The sequence below is a fragment of the Homo sapiens genome, chromosome 17, assembly GCF_000001405.40.
Source record: "Homo sapiens chromosome 17, GRCh38.p14 Primary Assembly".
NCBI classification, from domain to species: Eukaryota; Metazoa; Chordata; class Mammalia; order Primates; family Hominidae; genus Homo; species Homo sapiens.
In genome coordinates this window covers 59,604,086-59,621,104 of record NC_000017.11, presented here as the reverse complement: position 1 = coordinate 59,621,104, position 17,019 = coordinate 59,604,086, and the positions used below count along the sequence as shown (strand labels likewise).

Below are 17,019 nucleotides of genomic sequence, written 5' to 3'. Positions count from 1 at the left end.
CTAAAGGGAAGCCAGTCACAGACCAAATAGCCCTGCAGGTCTCAGAGCAGCTGTGCTGTCCCCAGGGCTCTGTTCAATTCCATGCGATCCTGAAGAAGATATTCAAAACTACCTGCTACTACTCGAGAAGACTAAAAGATAACCTCTGTATCACTCTTTCCTACCTTCCAGAACCAAAGAGGGGTTAAGAGCCACAACATCCCCAGAGAAATAAAAAAAGGGGGAAGGGGAGGCGAGTTTCCTTAGGGAGTTTGACCGCACACACTCTGAGATTGACATAGCTCTAAGAAATGCGTTCTCCCATTCTACCCTCGTTCCGTTCTTTCAGTGACCTTCTGTCCCTACTGCCTCAGGGAAGGCAAGAGAAAAGCCACCGCCTCACCACCACCCCCAACCCCCACCACCGGAGAAGGTGCCTTTCTCAGTTGAGAGCCGCAGAGGGAGGGAAAAAAAAGGTTGCTCCTCCCCAACCCACCCGCCCCACAACTCCTGGGTGCAGACACGATGAGGGAAAGAGGAGAGCAATGGAAGGTGACAGCCCCGCACTGGCCCAGGGGATAAGAATCCTTGCTCTGGTAGAAACAAGGGAGAATCCCCCTCCCACTCCCCTACCCAAATGAATGAAATGAATAAAATGGGGAGAGAGTTTGTACGCGCAGTTCTGGCCATCCAGGAAGCAAGATCGAGAGGCCTTTGGATCCAGGCCTGGTCCTTGCAGCTCTTTGCACCCCAACTCCTGTCCTTTCCATCCAAGCCCCACATCATTTAATATTTTAAGCTTTCCAAGATAGTGCCCCCTCCTCCACCTACCCCAATCACCGACAACCCCCCCGCCCCTCCAGCTCCGATACTGCTCGGGCCCAGACTCCAGCGTCTTCCATCCTTCCTACCACCTTCTCCACAGCCCTCACCAGCCCGGGCCCGGCCGCACCTGGAGATGCTCCTGAAAACGAATTGGCAGAATCTGGGCCATGGCGCTGTCGGGGGTTATGGTCTCCTCCTGTCACTGGGGCTGCGGGGCAGTGGCTGCCCGGGCTCTCCAAGGGAGAGGAGGAGAAGGGGAGGGGGGAGGCTGGGCTCAGCAGGATCCTCTCCGGGGACGCAGGAAACTGGCAGGCAGACGAAAGAGCTCGGGTCGGGGGCGGAGGCTCCAGGGGCCAGGAGAGCCGCAATGGCGGAACCGGGCGCAGCGCAGACTCCGGAAACGGCTGAGCCCAGCGGAAGGATCCCGGCGACAGAACTCCGCCCAGTCGCCTCACCCCCTCCGCCTTATGTACCCCTCCACGGAGCGCCGCGCGCGGCGGGCGCAGGAATTCGGGGCGCAGTGCGCCCGGTGCCTCGCTTCCTGACGCCACATGGGGGGAAACAGAGGAACCGGAGGGACTACTTTTTTAGACTCATCACTTTCGCCAGTCTTCTCTTTCTCCCCCCACTTTTTTTTTTTCATTTTGCCACATCATGCGACTCGGGGCGACCGACGTCACTTCCGTGGGCGCTTTAGGTCCCACCCACGTACTTCCAGGTGCACGTGATACTGATGGGGAAGGGTCGGCTGATTGCTGCCAGAAATGGAGAGCTCGTTTTAAGGAAATGCGGCGTCTCCTGGGAGTGAAGAGGCTTTTGGGCCACCTTGAGGCATGACGGGTGCCGCTTCGTTTCCCTGCGACCGCTGCCTGTTTCGACTGAGCCCCTCACAGGAGGACGTGGCGGGGGCAGACGGGCGCAGCCTCCCGCCCTCTCCGTGACTCAGGGAAACGGCCTCGCCGCAGAGCGCTCCCTCGGCAGCTGGCTGCAGCACTCCTCCCCCGCCGGGCTTCAGAGTGGGTGGTTTCCTACAGCCTAGGGAGGGGGCCTGAAACGGGGTTTAAAATCTTCCCTGCCCTCACACAAGCCCTTCTGACTGTTGGAGAACCTGACGCGCGGATTCTAACTAGAACTGGCACTCTCTTCGGGTGTTAGATAATTAACTCAAAGGACAGCGAAGGCCTTTTATGATGTCTTTCAAGCTGGCCTTATGACAGCTTTTCTTAACGTTTCTGCGGACATTTTGGCGGACTTGTGTCGGCCTAGCTCAGTGATCAGTTTCGTTAAAGAATTTGAGTATCCGAACATTAAAGGATTGGACCTAAATTCTAGCAGGAGGATTTTTAGCCACATCAAATAATTTACGTCTCAAAGATTTAGATAATTAGGGTAAGGATGCTTAGTAAAACCCGAAGGTTCCATCGCGCCACTGCACTCCAACCTGGGCGACAGAGCGAGACTCCGTCTCAAAAAAAAAACAAACAAAAAAAAACCTGAAGGTTCCTGGAGGAAAGAGATGAACTATTAGCCGTGTATTTCGGTGGGACCACCTCAACATAGGTTCCTGTAGGTTAGCAATGTAGAAATGTAGCGCTTCAAAGCCGGAGCATCCTGTCTTCAAAGAGCATGAAGGTATCAACGGCATTCATTGTCGATTAATAATAACCTTTCTGGTACTTTCTTGCTAAAGTATAAGCCATAATAATATTTCATAATCGCACCAATACAATAAAGGATGAAAGACGTTAGTTCTGTGCCTTTTATCTTTGTAAGAGAGGTGATTCTCCCCCCCCACCCCCCGCCCCGCCGAAAGAGAAAAGCTCAAGTCCACAATAATTATTTTTAGTGTCCTTTTCAGTTAAAGGACATAAAACCCTATTGGGTAGACGATAGTTTTGTATGCTAAGCAGTTTAGGTTACAGTGAGAAGTTTGCCAATCATTTTAGTTGCTTTTAGTGTTTTTCCCTTTACTTAACTGTCTCACATACTGAGCATGAGAGAAGAGTCTGGCAGGTAAGAGGGCAAAGATTGTTCTGCAAAGAAAAGCCTTGCCACCATGTTGTAAGAGTGAATATTTATGCTTGCAAAATTTCTTTTTGTATTGTTAAGCTAAATACACGAAGATCCTCTGTTCCGCAACATTTGAAATAACCTAATGCCAGTCTAGTAATAACTGCTTTAAACCCTTTTTGGAAGTAGACAAATTCTAAATTAAAATTCTAAGGGAGTAATTGTTTTATTACAGTAATTCAATAGCTTGATCAAGTCACCTTTTCAATCTCAGAATCCGGAGATAAAAGAGCCGTATCATGAATGGGCCACCAAAATTTAATTAGTGTCTGGCATTTTCATACAGACCCTGTAACTTTAAGTACATTTAGAATCCCAAAAGCAGTTGATTTTAGCTATTTGGAGTGGAATATCTAACCAAAAAGTGCGCTGAGGTTGTTAGTGACTGCTACGTCATCACACATAGAAATTACACTGTTTTGAGAAATAATTTAGGAAGAGGAAAAATAGATCGTGATATCCTGGGTCATTTTGAAATGATCTTCAAATTAATCCAAAAATTTTCAAGAGAAAAAAAAAGTCAAGATGATAAACATTAAAAAAAAACCCTATGCCTTTTTAAAGATGAATAATTTGAGTAGGGTAATAAGAGTTTTTTTTTTTTTTTAATGGGAGTCTGCTGTTCTTGGTAACAGTATAAAGGCAGTTTCACTGGTTTCACTGGTTTAGTTACCTAAGCAATACCTGAATGGCACTGTTTTCAGACATTACCTCAAGTTAGAAGGGAGAACAGATAACCTAATAGACCAGGAAGCAAATCCTACTACCCAGAATGGCTTTTTCTACGATACAGTATGACATAGTCTTTTAATAAGACAATGCTATGAATGATCACTCTAGCTTTTGGTTTCAGAAAATGTTTTAGCAAGGTAGCCATGTTAATCAATGGTGAAGTGAAAGCTATTTTAGTTGGAATGCTCATCAACAGTAGACTATCATGAGTCACAGCAAGTGCCATTAGCAAAAACTACATTGCTTGGTCTGTTATTTTGAGGACTGCTAGTTTCTGAAAACCTATACAAGAAACCTGTGTTGTGTCACTAATTTTAATGTTATGCCAACAATTAGGATGGAGATATATACATATATATATATATATATATATATATATATATAAACACTCAATAGAATGACACCTCAAAACACAAACAAAAAACAAAAAAAAAAACAACCCCTTTCACTGTAGGATTTCTCCATTAGCTGTTCATCTTCAAGCAGCCCTAGCACTAATGCCCCTGCCTTTTAAAAACTTGACCTTTTAAAAACAGCCTGAATTCACTGCACTGCAAAAGTCACAAAGAAAAGGCATATCTCACATACTCAGAAATTAATTTTAAAGCAGAACTTTAATCCACTGTACCAAATGTTTACAATTCAGATTCCAATAAAGCCATAAAGGACATACTTTAGTATTATCCAAGTAAGATACTTGGTTTTGCCATTTAAACAGTAGCTTTGAAGCATCTCAACCCCCTGGGGCCACTGATATGAATCCCAGCAGGATTAGACTGGCTAGGTCTTTATTTTTTCATGCAAGATAAGGAGCAGCCTATCAAATGCCAGTAAACAAATGTACAAGTCACTGACTATCGGCAAGGCTCCCCGCTCCAAAATGAAGAAAAGAAAGCAGCATTTACAAAGCAAGAACAATTTTTTTTTTTTGAGACGGAGTCTTGCTCTTGTCGCCCAGGCCAGACTGCAATGGTGTGATCTCGGCCCACCACAACCTCCGCCTCCTGGGTTCAGGCAATTCTCCTGCCTCAGCCTCCCGAGGAGCTGGGATTACAGGCACCAGCCACCATGCCTGGCTTATTTTTGTATTTTTAGTAGAGACAGGGGTTTCACCATGTTGGGTAGGCTGGTCTTGAACTCCTGACCTCAGGTGATCTGCCTGCCTCAGCCTCCTCAAGTGCTGGGATTACAGGCATGAGCCACCACACCCAGCCCCACAAGAACAAAATTTTAATGGCATTTTAATTTTACTATGAAACGTACTTTACTCTTGACATCCACTGCGCAGGCTTGTTTTAAACCTTTAAATATTTAGACAAGTTTTATAACGTACGATGGATAGCAATAAGATCTATAGTGAATCTTTACTTTGTATCAGCATTGGGCATGTTCCAAGTGAAAAGCCAAGACTAGCTTTGTGGGGATCCAATGTAGAATGAAGTCACATTATATAGGGCCCACCCATGTTTTTGAAGGGTTAAATAAGACCCTGGCAGAGGAATGAAGTGGTTCATGACATTACCTTAAAAAGCCATTTCACAAAAGTTGGTTTAGGCAGGACATGGTGGCTCAGCCTGTAATCCCAGCACTTTGGGAGGCCGAGGCGGGCGGATTACCTGAGGTCAGGAGTTTGAGACCAGCCTGGCCAACATGGTGAAATCCCACCTCTACTAAATATACAAAAATTAGCCAGGCACCGTGGCAGGTGCCTGTCATCCCAGCTACTTGGGAGGCTGAGGCAGGAGAATCGCTTGAACTTGGGAGGTGGAGGTTGCAGTGAGCCGAGATCACACCATTGCACTCCAGCCTGGGTGACAGAGCGAGACTCGGTCTCAAAAATAAAATAAGTTTCTGGATGCCTTCAATTTCCCTTTTGTTTTTTGAACCCCCCTGCCTATTTCCCTTTCAATTCTAGACAAATTAAAGGAAACATTCCTATTATAAGCATACTTTTATATAGCACTTTTAAGAAAGGTGTTTATTAATAGGGGATTTCATATCAGAGGATCAGATAAATATGTCTTCATTTGCCACTCTACAGTGTGCCACTGCACTCCAGCCTGGGAACAGAGCAAGATTCCGTCTCAAAAAAAAAAGCTAGTTTAAATATAGCAATTCACAGAACATTGTGGATAGGAAAACCCAGGAGGATTTTAACCCTGCTGATCAATAGGGAGTCAGATGCCATGTCACAACATCTTGCAACAAAAGTCACAAGAAGCTTGAGAGCATCTATAGAATGAAGAGGTAATGAGGGTGAGAGTGTGGGATTAATTGTTAAGGGCTATTTCTTTTTTCTATTTCTAAATATGTAGAACGTTCTGTGTTCACCTCCTAGAGTTACTACTGTCTCCAAAGCAAAACATGACCCACAGATATGTTCCCTTGGGAAATGTAGAGTTTTGCCACTCTAGGGATAGTTCTGCCAGTAGCAGTGTACATCTGCAGCCTTGTTAATGGTAGTAAACTCTCACTTCTTCGCAACAGAATAGCTAAGGACTGAGATTTGGTAAAGTTTTGGTTAACTCAATAATAAAGTTTTAAGGAATAATTAATTTCTTCAACAAATATTTTCCAGTACCTGCAATGTAAAATTAAATACTCAATGTTAAATTATTTTGTAAAGCCTTTTTTGAAAAAAAAAAATTGATATAGGGAAAGCAGTTCTGAACCTTAAAGGCCTCAGATTCATCAAAGTGAACAGTTGTTGTATAGTACTCCTGCAAATGTAACCTAATCTGAGTAGTACCAAACCTAGGCAATACTAGGAATTACTTTTTTTAAAATGCCATACCTCATCCTGTCATGACTACTAAAAGTAGATTACTATGTAAATCAAACAAAATACCTGGTTATTTTCTTTTCCTGGTTGCTCATATTCCAAATAACTATGAGTTTAATGTTGTATAGTATAAAATCCATACAATTACTTTTCATTCCACAACACTGCAGTGATGAAAAGTATGCAGCATTCATATAAGCCTACCTTAGATTTATTGATATAAATTGTTTTTCTTTTCCGAGTCAACCTTTAAACCTAAAAGTTTAAAGAGTCATGAAAAGGTCTCCTTAGGTTAACTCCACCAACCAGTCAAATATGTAGTCCTCCATTATCCACAAGGGATATATTCCAAGACCTCTACAGAGGATGCCTGAAACCACAGCTAATACTGAACCCCATACAGTATACACTATGTTTTTTCTATACATATATACCTATGATAAAGTTTAACTTATAAATTAGGCACAGTACGATATTAACAATGAAAATAGGACAATTATAACAATGTACTATAATAAAAGTTATATGTGAATGTGGTCTCTCAAAATATCATTGTAGTTACCTATTTTTGGACATAGTTGAACACAGGTAACTGAAACATCAGAAAATGAAACCTCAGATAATAAGGGACTACAATATAAAGCATTCTACATGCATGGTGAAAATAAAAACTAATGATGAAGACAGCTGTTACAGTCTATTTTAGTTACTATATAGTTGACCCATCAGATCAGATGGAGAGATAAGATTATACTCATTACTGAGGAAGGCTTAAACATTCCATTATTAATTTATTAAAAAAATTTAACCTTTGCACAGAAGTGATAAAAATTCCATTTTTAAAAAAGGAACTAAATGAAGTAGCAGACACGTACACAATGGCACATGATAAAAGGAAAATCCCGGCCCAAGCTACTTTAAAATTTTTCTATCTGTAGGAATGAGTGACACTCAAATTATTCTCCATTTGACTTACTAGTGTTAACCCAAGATACAGAATGGACATTGCAAAACCCTTCCAAAAAATCCTTCTCAAAGTGACACCAAAACCTTTCCATTGTTTACATCTGGTTCCTCTCCCCAACCCCACAAATTGTCTTTTTGTTTCAGTGCAGGTCCTACTCTTCCCTCAAAGACTCAGCTTAAAATCCATTTATCGGCAAGGCACGGTGCCTCACGCCTATAATCCCAGCACTTTGGGAAGCCGAGGTGGGTGGATCACTTGAGGTCAGGAGTTCAAGACCATCCTGGCCAACACGGTGAAACCCCGCCTCTGCTAAAAATACAAAAATTAGCTGGGTGTGATGGCGGGCGCCTGTAGTCCCAGCTACTCAGGAGGCTAAGCCAGGAGAATTGCTTGAACCGGGGAGGCGGAAGTTGCAGTGAGCCAAGATGGCGTCATTGCACTCCAGCTTGGGCAACAGAGTGAGGCTCTGTCTCAAAAAAAAAAAAAAATTCAATTTACCTTACTTCTCCAGCTATTAAAGCATTTATTGATTACATGACCCATTTAATTTGAAGCCTAGGCTACTTTATGTTGTTAGTAATCGCATCTGGAGTTGGCACAATCATTTATAAATACCTCCCATATACAAAGCACCAAACTGGGTGCTAGGCTGTATTTTGGGTTCACTCATCTCATTTCCTGTATTTTAGCTGAGAACCAAGTAATAATATTAATAGGTGGGAAAAATATGTGGATTTTATCTGGACAAAGAATGTGACTAATCATTGTCGTTTTTTTCTGAGACAGAGTCTTGCTCCGTTGCCCAAGCTGGAGTGCAGTGGTGCGATCTCGGCTCACTGCAACCTCCACCTCATGGGTTCAAGCGATTCTCCTGCCCCAGCCTCCTGAGTAGCTAGGATTACAGGCACGTACCACTGCACTCAGTTAATTTTTTGTATCTTTAGTAGAGACGGGGTTTCACCATGTTGGCCAGGCTGGTCTGGAGCTCCTGACCTCGTGATCCGCCCACCTCGGCCTCCCAAAGTGCTGGGATTACAGGTGTGAGCTACCATGCCCAGCTGTGACTAATCATTTTCTTTGAAAAATCTTTAACAGCTTCACAAGGGAATTTTGTATTATTCATGTATTAAGTTTAAAGGAACAGCTAACAAGTAATAAGGATTACTTTAAAAATCTTTGGGTGATTAAAGATTACTATTTAAATTTATTGATTCCTTGATATTATGTTTAGTCTCATCAACTCTGCTATGAAGAAAAAGTAAAAGCCAGAAAAATCTGACATTTCATTAAGACCTCTTCTTGCAAATGAAGTGATCATTTAAGTTAGAATGGGAATATTAAAAAGTAGCTTTTCTAGATTCAAATACAAGTGGTAAAAAACTGAAACTGGTGGGCGTGGTGGCTCACACCTGTAATCCCAGCACTTTGGGAGGCCAAGGCAGGCGGATCACTTGAGGTCAGAAGTTTGAGACCAGCCTGGCCAACATGGGAAACCCCATCTCTACTAAAAATACAAAAATTAGCTGGGTGTGGTGGCACGTGCCTGTAATCCCAGCTACTCAGGACACTGAGGCGGGAGAATCATTTGAACCTGGGAGGCGGAGGTTGCAGTGAGCCGAGATCATGCCACTGCGCTCCAGCCTGGGCGACAGAGTAAGACTCCATCTCAAAGAAAAAAAACCTGAAATCAAAACAATAATCCAGTCATTCCTTAGTATCAGCTGGGGTTTGGTTCCAGGACTTCCCCCTGAGGATACCAAAATCTGGTTGATGCTGAAGTTTCTCATATAAAATGGGTAGTGTCTGCATATATGCACATTTTCCTGCATACTTTACATCATATCTAGATTATTTATAATATCTAATACAATGTAAATAGTTGTTATACTCTTTTTTTCTTTATCTTTCATTATTGTATTATTTTTATTGGATTTTCTTTGGAATATTTGAAATCTGTGGTTGGTTGAATCTGTGGTTGTGGAACCCCAGATACTGAGCCCCCAGATACAGGGGGCTGACTGTATTTGCTGACATGTGAAATTTGAATTTCATTCTCCATAGTTTTATTGGAACAAAGTGATATTCATTCATGTACTGTCTGTTGTTGCTTTCATACTACAACATCAGAGTAGCTGCAACAGAAATTACATGTCCAGAAAGCCTAAAATATTTACTATCTGGCTTATCAAATTCAAATCAGATAATTTTATTATTCCCTACAGTTTGAACACATGGAAAAAGCATTAAATATCTAAATATGTAAATTAAGATAATGAGGCACCTTTTTGTCAATAATTAGAAGACTGAGGAACTATGAGGTGTAGTAAGACTGGCATTTTCATATATTGCTGGTTGGAATATGAACTGGTTCATCTGTTCTGCTAAATAGGAGTACACATCAGGAATCTCAGAAATCACTTTCACTGCTGTAGGATTCAACAGTAAGAACATATCACAATTTATTAAACCTTTTCCCTACTGATATAGCTATATATATATGTGCTGTTTTCAGATTTCTATTAGCAACAATGGTGTATTTCACATTGTAATGAATGCTGTATTTAACATTTTTAATGTATTTATCATCAGCAATTAACGCTAAATCTATAGGAGTCCAATTTTATGAGGCACAGAATATTGTATATAGTCTGAGAGTTCCTAGTCTAGAGAAACCCCTAAGTCTAAATGTGGACTTACTGGGTCCACCCTAAGTAAACAAAACTAGTATCACCAATAAGCGGCAAATGCCATGTACCTCCAGATGTGATACGCTAGTCAAAGACCACCTACGTCTAGAGGTGGACTTACTAGGTATCAGGTTGTACACAGCTTCAACTTTACTAGATATTGCCAAAATGTTCTCTAAAATAAGAGCTGGCCTGGGCATGGTGGCTCACGTCTGTAATCCCAGGATTTTGGTAGGCCAAGGCAAGAGGATCATTTGAGCCCAGGAGTTCGAGACCCAGCCTAAGCAACATAGTGACACCCCATATATACAAAAAATGAATTTTAAAACAACCAGTCGGGTGTGTTGGCACACACCTGTACTCTCAGCTACTCAGGAGACTAAGGTGGGAGGACTGCTTGAGCCTAGATCAAAGAAGTAGTGAGCCATGATCATGCTGTACTCCAGCCTGGGCAACAGAACTGTATGAAAAATTAATTAATTAAATAAAAGCAATTTATTCTTCACCACCAACACTTTTCAGGAGTATTAATTATTGCTAATCTGATGGAAATGAATGCCGTCTCCCTAATTACAAGTTAGGTTCATTGTCTTTTATTTACTGACCCTTCCTCCTGTTTCCCCTTTTATAAAAGGACCGACCATGTCCTTTGCCCATTTTTCTATTATAACATTTGTCAGCTGGATGCAGTGGCTCATGTCTGTAATCCCAACACTTTGGGAGGCCGAGGTGGGCAGATCACGAGGTCAGGAGTTCAAGACCAGCCTGGTGAAACCCCGTCTCTACTAAAAACACAAAAAAATTAGCCAGGCGTGGTGGTACGCACCTGTAATCCCAGCTACTCGGGAGGCCGAGGCAGGAGAACTGCTTGAACCCGGCAGGCCGAGGTTGTGGTGAGCCGAGATCGCACCATTGTACTCCAGCCTGGGCAACAAGAGCAAAACTCCGTCTCAAAAAAAAATTTGTTTTTGATTCTGTTTTGTTTCATTTAGTAACTTGAAGGTGTATTCCCATTCTTCTAAGAACAAACTCCTCCATAAAACCCACCTTTCCTGCAAGGCTGCTTCCATGTTCTTGCCTTAACTAGATCCAGCATTCCCTTGATACTACTGCTCTCACAGTCCTCTCAATGCAAACTGAGATACAGAAATTTTTTATCAATAACACTATCACAATTATCCCAAAACTGTAATGATGTCCTTCCCTTCTAACAAATCCATAAAATAATTCCAAATTCTATAGATTGGTTTACAAAGCCTTCTGTAATCTGACCTTAACAGTTTGAGCCACCTACTCTCCTATATATATTCTATGCACCAAGTAAACTCAACTGTTTGCCACCATCTCAAACACCCCCTGGGCTTTCTATAAATACTTCTCTGTCTTGATCCATGCTCTTCTTAGCACCCACCCGTTTATCAGACATTCATCCTTCAAGGAAAACTCTTCCTTACAATATAATACCAACAAATATAGAAAAGAATTAGAAAAAAAAATCACCATTTTGCAGCCATAAGAATAAAATGGATTCAGGCAAGAATCATCAATTGATGGTAAATACAAAATGTCATATTTTATGAGGAACGAGATATTTTATATAATGTCAAAGTATCTCTCCCTCAAATTATTTATGAATTATAAGGATAACCAGGTTGATATAATTTAAAAAGCACCCTAATAAGTAATTAACATTAATAACACCAGCAAGGGGAAAATGCCATGTACCTCCAGACGTGATACCATGACACTATTACTTATGCAGTATTCCAGTTAAAAATGCATAACCATGAAGAAACATTGGAGAAACCCAAATTGAGAACATTCTATAAAATAACTAGCTTATATTATTTTAAAATGTTAATGTTGTGAAAGACAAGGACTGAGGACTTTTTCCAGATTAAGAGACTAAATACAATACGTGATCCTAGACTAAATCTTGAACTACAGAAAAATGCCATAAAGGACATTACTGAAACAACAGATATAATTTGAGTGTGAGGTGTAGATTCAGAATATATGCTTAATATTTACTAAACTAGAAGAGCTCTCATTCCAAGAATCCACACACTCCCACCACATCTGAGGATATGCCCTTATACAATACACCTGAGAAGAGAAACTGACAGAACTAAATGATTAATATGTGCTAATAACAGTGTCTAGAGCACTAAAGATAAAAATGAACAAATTAGGCCAGGCGCGGTGACTCACGCCTGTAATCCCAGCACTCTGGGAGGCAGAGGCGGGCGCATCATGAGGTCAGGAGATCAAGACCATCCTGGCTAACACGGTGAAACCCCGTCTCTACTAAAAAATACAAAAAATTAGCCAGGCATAGTGGTGGATGCCTGTAGTCCCAGCTACTCGGGAGGCTGAGGCAGGAGAATGGCGTGAACCTGGGAGGCGGAGCTTGCAGTGAGCCAAGATCATGCCACCGTACTCCAGCCTGGGCGACAAAGTGAGACTCCGTCTCAAAAAAAAAAAAAAAAAAATTAACAAATTAAAACACTGGAAAGGTTTAGAGAAACCATCATCACTCACCTTACTTTAGGGACAAATACATGAATTTGGGTCCTTGTGATTTTTGATAAAGATTTCAAGTTTCTATTATTGAACATAAAACTAGATTCCAAAGGAAATAACTAGAAGAGTTACCGATAAAAAATTTAGATTCTTAATTTTTACACAAAATATCTAAAAACACACATTATACTGTCTTTTGAATTTTAATGACACTAATAGCTTTATTTAACAAACACTGAGTGACTACTATGTGCAAAGCACTATGCTAGGTGCATGAAAGATACAAAGATGAAAAAAGACACAGTCCCTGCCCACAAGGAGCGTATAATCTAGTGAGGGAGACAAATACACAAATAACTAGAATACAAGGCAGTAAACAAGAGTGGGCAAGTGCTGAGTGTGGCCTGAGTGTGATACTAACTAGCCTCAAGGTTCCAATTTGAAACACGATGAAATAGTGTTGTCTGCTTCGAAAATCCCATCCCAAGTTTGGCATAATGGAAGTTAAATGGCCCTACCCAAACAGGTGGAAATAACAGAGTAGGCCAGGTGGAGGCGCTGTTTGAAAGTACTATCACACCTACATACATGGTGCTGATATAAGTACGTAGGTACAGCTAAAAAAGAACTTATATATATATATATATCATATATATATATATCATCTGTCCTTTGGTTAATGGCTATAGCTACTGTTTTAAACAATATACTTTTATATAAAAAGGAATTTGTATAATCCCAGAAAAATCAATTTAAGGATTAATATTAATTCAAGAAAGAATCCTGCCATAGGCAATTTTATTTACTAATTGATTAAGTCTTTTCTCTAAATATCTATAAAGCTCTGTAGCAATTAAACAGTTAGACATCTAAGTATTGCTGAGTAGAAACCTCTTATGTTCAGCCTTCTGAAATAAATGGTCACATACCTGATATATAGCACTATTCTAACAGCAACAAGAAGGCCTTAAAGAGATTTTAAGAAAAATAATTTTTAATGCTTCAATGCAAATGGAGTACACGCTGATTAAATACAACTCAATGTTCTTTGAAAACATCTCAATGACAGCGTTTGATACCAGTTAAGGCCAGCAAAATTGTACTGAGGAAAATATTATTACATGTACTGTCTTTCATTGGTTTCATGTATCATTGCTTATGACTATGGCAACCAAATCTTTTCTTTGACAACTGCATTTATGGGAACTGATGAGCTTTGATTTATGAGCTTTGATTTGCTTTTAGTTCATAGGCCAATAACAAGTGCTGACCACCTCCTCTTGGTAGTGCTGTCTGAAATAACTGGCAAAGTAGAAGCACATTTCCTGGCTCCTTTTCCCACTTCCTGAATTGGAGGGTTCACCACCTTAGCCTGTTTCCTTTCGTGTGTCACTGTGGTCCTGGGTCCTCTGCTGCTTTCTCTCAAGGAAACGAGCCCGTGCATCAGATATGGATTTGTCATCATTTCTTCTTTGCATTTTCTTTAAGACGTCTTTCGATATTCCATCTGAAAACATTACAAATTAATCCAATAAAACTTAGCTTTGAGATTCAGTACTAGAAATGTTAAGAGAAAGAGAAGCCCTGATTTTTCAGTGTTAACAAAGTAAAAACAATAAAGAGAAAAATTAAATTTTGCCCTTTCAAAAGCAATGTAGTCTATGGTTACAAAATTAAGAGCACCAAGGCCAATGAGTCAGAAAAACTGACCCTAATTCAAGCATGTGGCAGTGTTATTACACTGTAATAGAACACCTAGTGGCTAAGATTTCTTTTCTTTTTTTTTTTTTTTTTGAGACGGAGTCTCACTCTGTCGCCCAGGCTGGAGTGCAGTGGCGCAATCTCGGCTCACTGCAAGCTCTGCCTCCTGGGTTCACGCCATTCTCCTGCCTCAGCCTCCCGAGTAGCTGGGACTACAGGCGCCCGCCACCACACCCAGCTAGTTTTTTGTATATTTAGTAGAGACGGGGTTTCACCGTGTTAGCCAGGATGGTCTCGATCTCCTGACCTCGTGATCCGCCCGCCTTGGTCTCCCAAAGTGCTGGGATTACAGGCGTGAGCCACCATGCCTGGCCTCCCTAGTGGCTAACATTTCTAAAGATTTTTCTATGATTTATTCGGCAAAACTCTTCACCATTCCATTTTGCAGTGATGTCAAATAAAGAAAATACAATATGCTTCATCATTCAGCCTCAAAAAGCTTTACTAAGAAGTTTTCTGTGTATGTGAGCTGAAAAACTTTCTGTCCTATTTCAGTACCACAACTATTTATGCCTCCCAACCAGGGTCCTAATTATTTCATAGAAAAAGCCCCTTGGATATACAAACTTAGCCAGGCGTGGTGGTGCATGCCTGTAATCCAGCTACTCAGGAGGCTGAGGCAGGAGAATAGCTTGAACCGGGAGGCAGAGGCTGCAGTGAGCCAAAATCACACCATTACACTCCAGCCTGGGCAATAAGAGCAAAACTCCGTCTCAAAGAAGAAAGAAAAAGAAAGAAAGAAAGAAAAAGCCCCTTGGAAACAAAGGGGATTCTGAGTTAATAATGCATAAATCATCACTTTTTTTTTTTTAGAGATAGTGTCTCACTCTGTCACCCCCAGGCTGGAGTGCACTGGTGAAATCACAGTTCACTGCAGCCTCAAACTCCTGGGTTCAAGCGATCCTCCTGCATCAGCCTCCCAAGTCACTGGGACTACAGGTGCACACCAACATGCCTGGCTAATTTTTATTTTTATTTTGCTAGAGATGGGATCTCACCACATTGCCCAGGTGGGTCACAACATTTTTATAAACAAAAATAGTGAAGTACTACTGGGAAGCAGTATGGCATAGTGGTTAAGAGTAGAACAAATGATTTACTCACCCTTTAGCTGCTTTACATTTTCCTTATTTGTCCATCTCCTTCTTGCATCTTCTCTCACTTCACGTCGGGCCACACTGCTCAAATCATGTGCATTAAATTCATGCAACTTGGGTAACAAGTCTCTTACCCATTCATAACGGATTGGGCATACAATTCTTGCGTAGACTTTGGTGGTAACCAATACCTCATGAAAAATGATCCATTCAAGTTTGGTTTCCTGTTCATGAAGCTATACAAAACATTTCTTTTAATGATGGTAACTCAATAACCTGCCCTATTCCACATTAAACCAACCAAATAGTCCAAATCCTTCTCAATTAATTCCTATCTTCTTCAAACAGGAGGCACAGGCCAACCAATACCCTTATAGATCTATGTAATATAGATATATGTAAATTTAACTCCAAAGTGAAAAGTAGAAGACATTTGTATATTACTTATTTCTACAACTTTACAAATTTCTTCCCTTTATTAAAAATGAAGTACTTACTGCTGAGGAAGGATGAATGTGAACTGGGCTTCCACGACCATCCATTGTGCAAAACGTTCTCCCAACAGATCTATAAACAGAAAAACAAAATGATAAAGACTACAACAGTAAAGCAATGAAGTAAATGGAGCATTACATTCAGCAATGAACAATTACAATATGTTCTACTACAAACAGCATTATAAGCAGAGGTTTACATTTATTCAACTGTCACTACAAGCTCTCTACCAATTCATCTTAAATTAATTATACAGGTTAAACAGTCACTACAATTAGGTATAAGTCACTACAATTAGGTATAAGGAATCAGTACAAATATTAACAATAATCTATGAGCTTTGAGAGCCAGGAACTTTATTAAAAAGTCAAAACTAAAATTCAAATAAATTAGCTAGACTTCTCAAGATCACCAGCGCTAACGCATGGTAAAACCAAGTCCTAAACAGTTCTTCTGACTTAAATATGGTTTCTTTATGTTATACTATGCTGCATCTCTTTTTAAAGGGATGATTTTTTCACTACTCTAAAACTTGACAATTAATCTATCATTTTTCCGATTCATGCCCTTATTTTCTTCTACATTACCCTACCTAAATGTCATTCCAAAAAACTTGTCAAAAAAATAAACCTAGTTCATTTGTCATAATTTATTTCCTATAGTACTTTGTATATATTCATAGTATAACCCAGATCAGACTGCACTGTAATTATTCACTTACATATCTGTACCCTCCATTAGACTCAGGTATCATCAAGAATGATGTAAGGACTCATGTTACTCTACTTTTCTATTTTTAGTACCTGCCCAGTGTTTGGCATACAGAGGGTAACCAAGATATACCATATTTTTAAAAGTGTGAAACAATCTAAATTTACAGAAAAGTTGAGAGTAAAAAAATTTTTACCTGAATCATTTGACAGCAAACTGCCAACCTAATACCCCATCATCCTCAAATACTCGACTGTGCACTTCTTACAATCAACAATCAAGAACATTCTCCGACATGACTATAACCATCAAAACCAGGAAATTAACACTGATACATTACTAACAATTAATCCTCAGACCCCACTGACATTTCACCAATTTGTCTTAATA

General features: G+C 40.6%; 2 protein-coding genes across 8 annotated transcripts in view, besides 7 other annotated features; both read right to left on the bottom strand.

Annotated features, from left to right (window-relative positions):
* Window positions 1-1,210, bottom strand: part of CLTC (clathrin heavy chain) — a 77,062-nt gene extending 75,852 nt beyond the window's left edge. For both annotated transcript variants that reach the window (NM_001288653.2, NM_004859.4), the window contains exon 1: window positions 932-1,210. In NM_001288653.2, the coding sequence (NP_001275582.1) occupies window positions 932-973 (42 nt within the window). In that variant the 5' untranslated portion in view covers window positions 974-1,210. The remainder of the gene's footprint in view (window positions 1-931) is intronic.
* Window positions 1,123-1,417: an enhancer, noted in NCBI's record as "tiled region #22; HepG2 Activating DNase unmatched - State 1:Tss, and K562 Activating non-DNase unmatched - State 1:Tss". NCBI's record gives its function as "activates a minimal TATA promoter and a strong SV40 promoter by Sharpr-MPRA in HepG2 and K562 cells {active_cell/tissue: HepG2 | K562}" and the evidence as "EXISTENCE:reporter gene assay evidence [ECO:0000049][PMID:27701403]".
* Window positions 1,123-1,496: a biological region, named in NCBI's record as "Sharpr-MPRA regulatory region 22".
* Window positions 1,147-1,496: an enhancer, noted in NCBI's record as "active region_12512". NCBI's record gives its function as "activates an Ori minimal core promoter by ATAC-STARR-seq in GM12878 lymphoblastoid cells {active_cell/tissue: GM12878}" and the evidence as "EXISTENCE:reporter gene assay evidence [ECO:0000049][PMID:35858748]".
* Window positions 1,947-2,066: an enhancer, noted in NCBI's record as "active region_12511". NCBI's record gives its function as "activates an Ori minimal core promoter by ATAC-STARR-seq in GM12878 lymphoblastoid cells {active_cell/tissue: GM12878}" and the evidence as "EXISTENCE:reporter gene assay evidence [ECO:0000049][PMID:35858748]".
* Window positions 1,947-2,776: a biological region, named in NCBI's record as "NANOG-H3K27ac-H3K4me1 hESC enhancer GRCh37_chr17:57695690-57696502".
* Window positions 1,964-2,776: an enhancer, noted in NCBI's record as "NANOG-H3K27ac-H3K4me1 hESC enhancer chr17:57695690-57696502 (GRCh37/hg19 assembly coordinates)". NCBI's record gives its function as "activates a minimal SCP1, AML or CMV promoter by ChIP-STARR-seq in naive H9 embryonic stem cells {active_cell/tissue: H9 hESC(naive)}" and the evidence as "EXISTENCE:reporter gene assay evidence [ECO:0000049][PMID:30033119]".
* Window positions 2,077-2,126: an enhancer, noted in NCBI's record as "active region_12510". NCBI's record gives its function as "activates an Ori minimal core promoter by ATAC-STARR-seq in GM12878 lymphoblastoid cells {active_cell/tissue: GM12878}" and the evidence as "EXISTENCE:reporter gene assay evidence [ECO:0000049][PMID:35858748]".
* Window positions 12,760-17,019, bottom strand: part of DHX40 (DEAH-box helicase 40) — a 42,736-nt gene continuing 38,476 nt past the window's right edge. For all 6 annotated transcript variants that reach the window (NM_024612.5, XM_006722083.4, XM_011525253.4 and 3 more), the window contains 3 exons: window positions 15,921-15,990; window positions 15,431-15,659; window positions 12,760-14,072 (listed from right to left, as the gene is read on the bottom strand). In NM_024612.5, the coding sequence (NP_078888.4) occupies window positions 13,933-14,072; window positions 15,431-15,659; window positions 15,921-15,990 (439 nt within the window). In that variant the 3' untranslated portion in view covers window positions 12,760-13,932. The remainder of the gene's footprint in view (window positions 14,073-15,430; window positions 15,660-15,920; window positions 15,991-17,019) is intronic.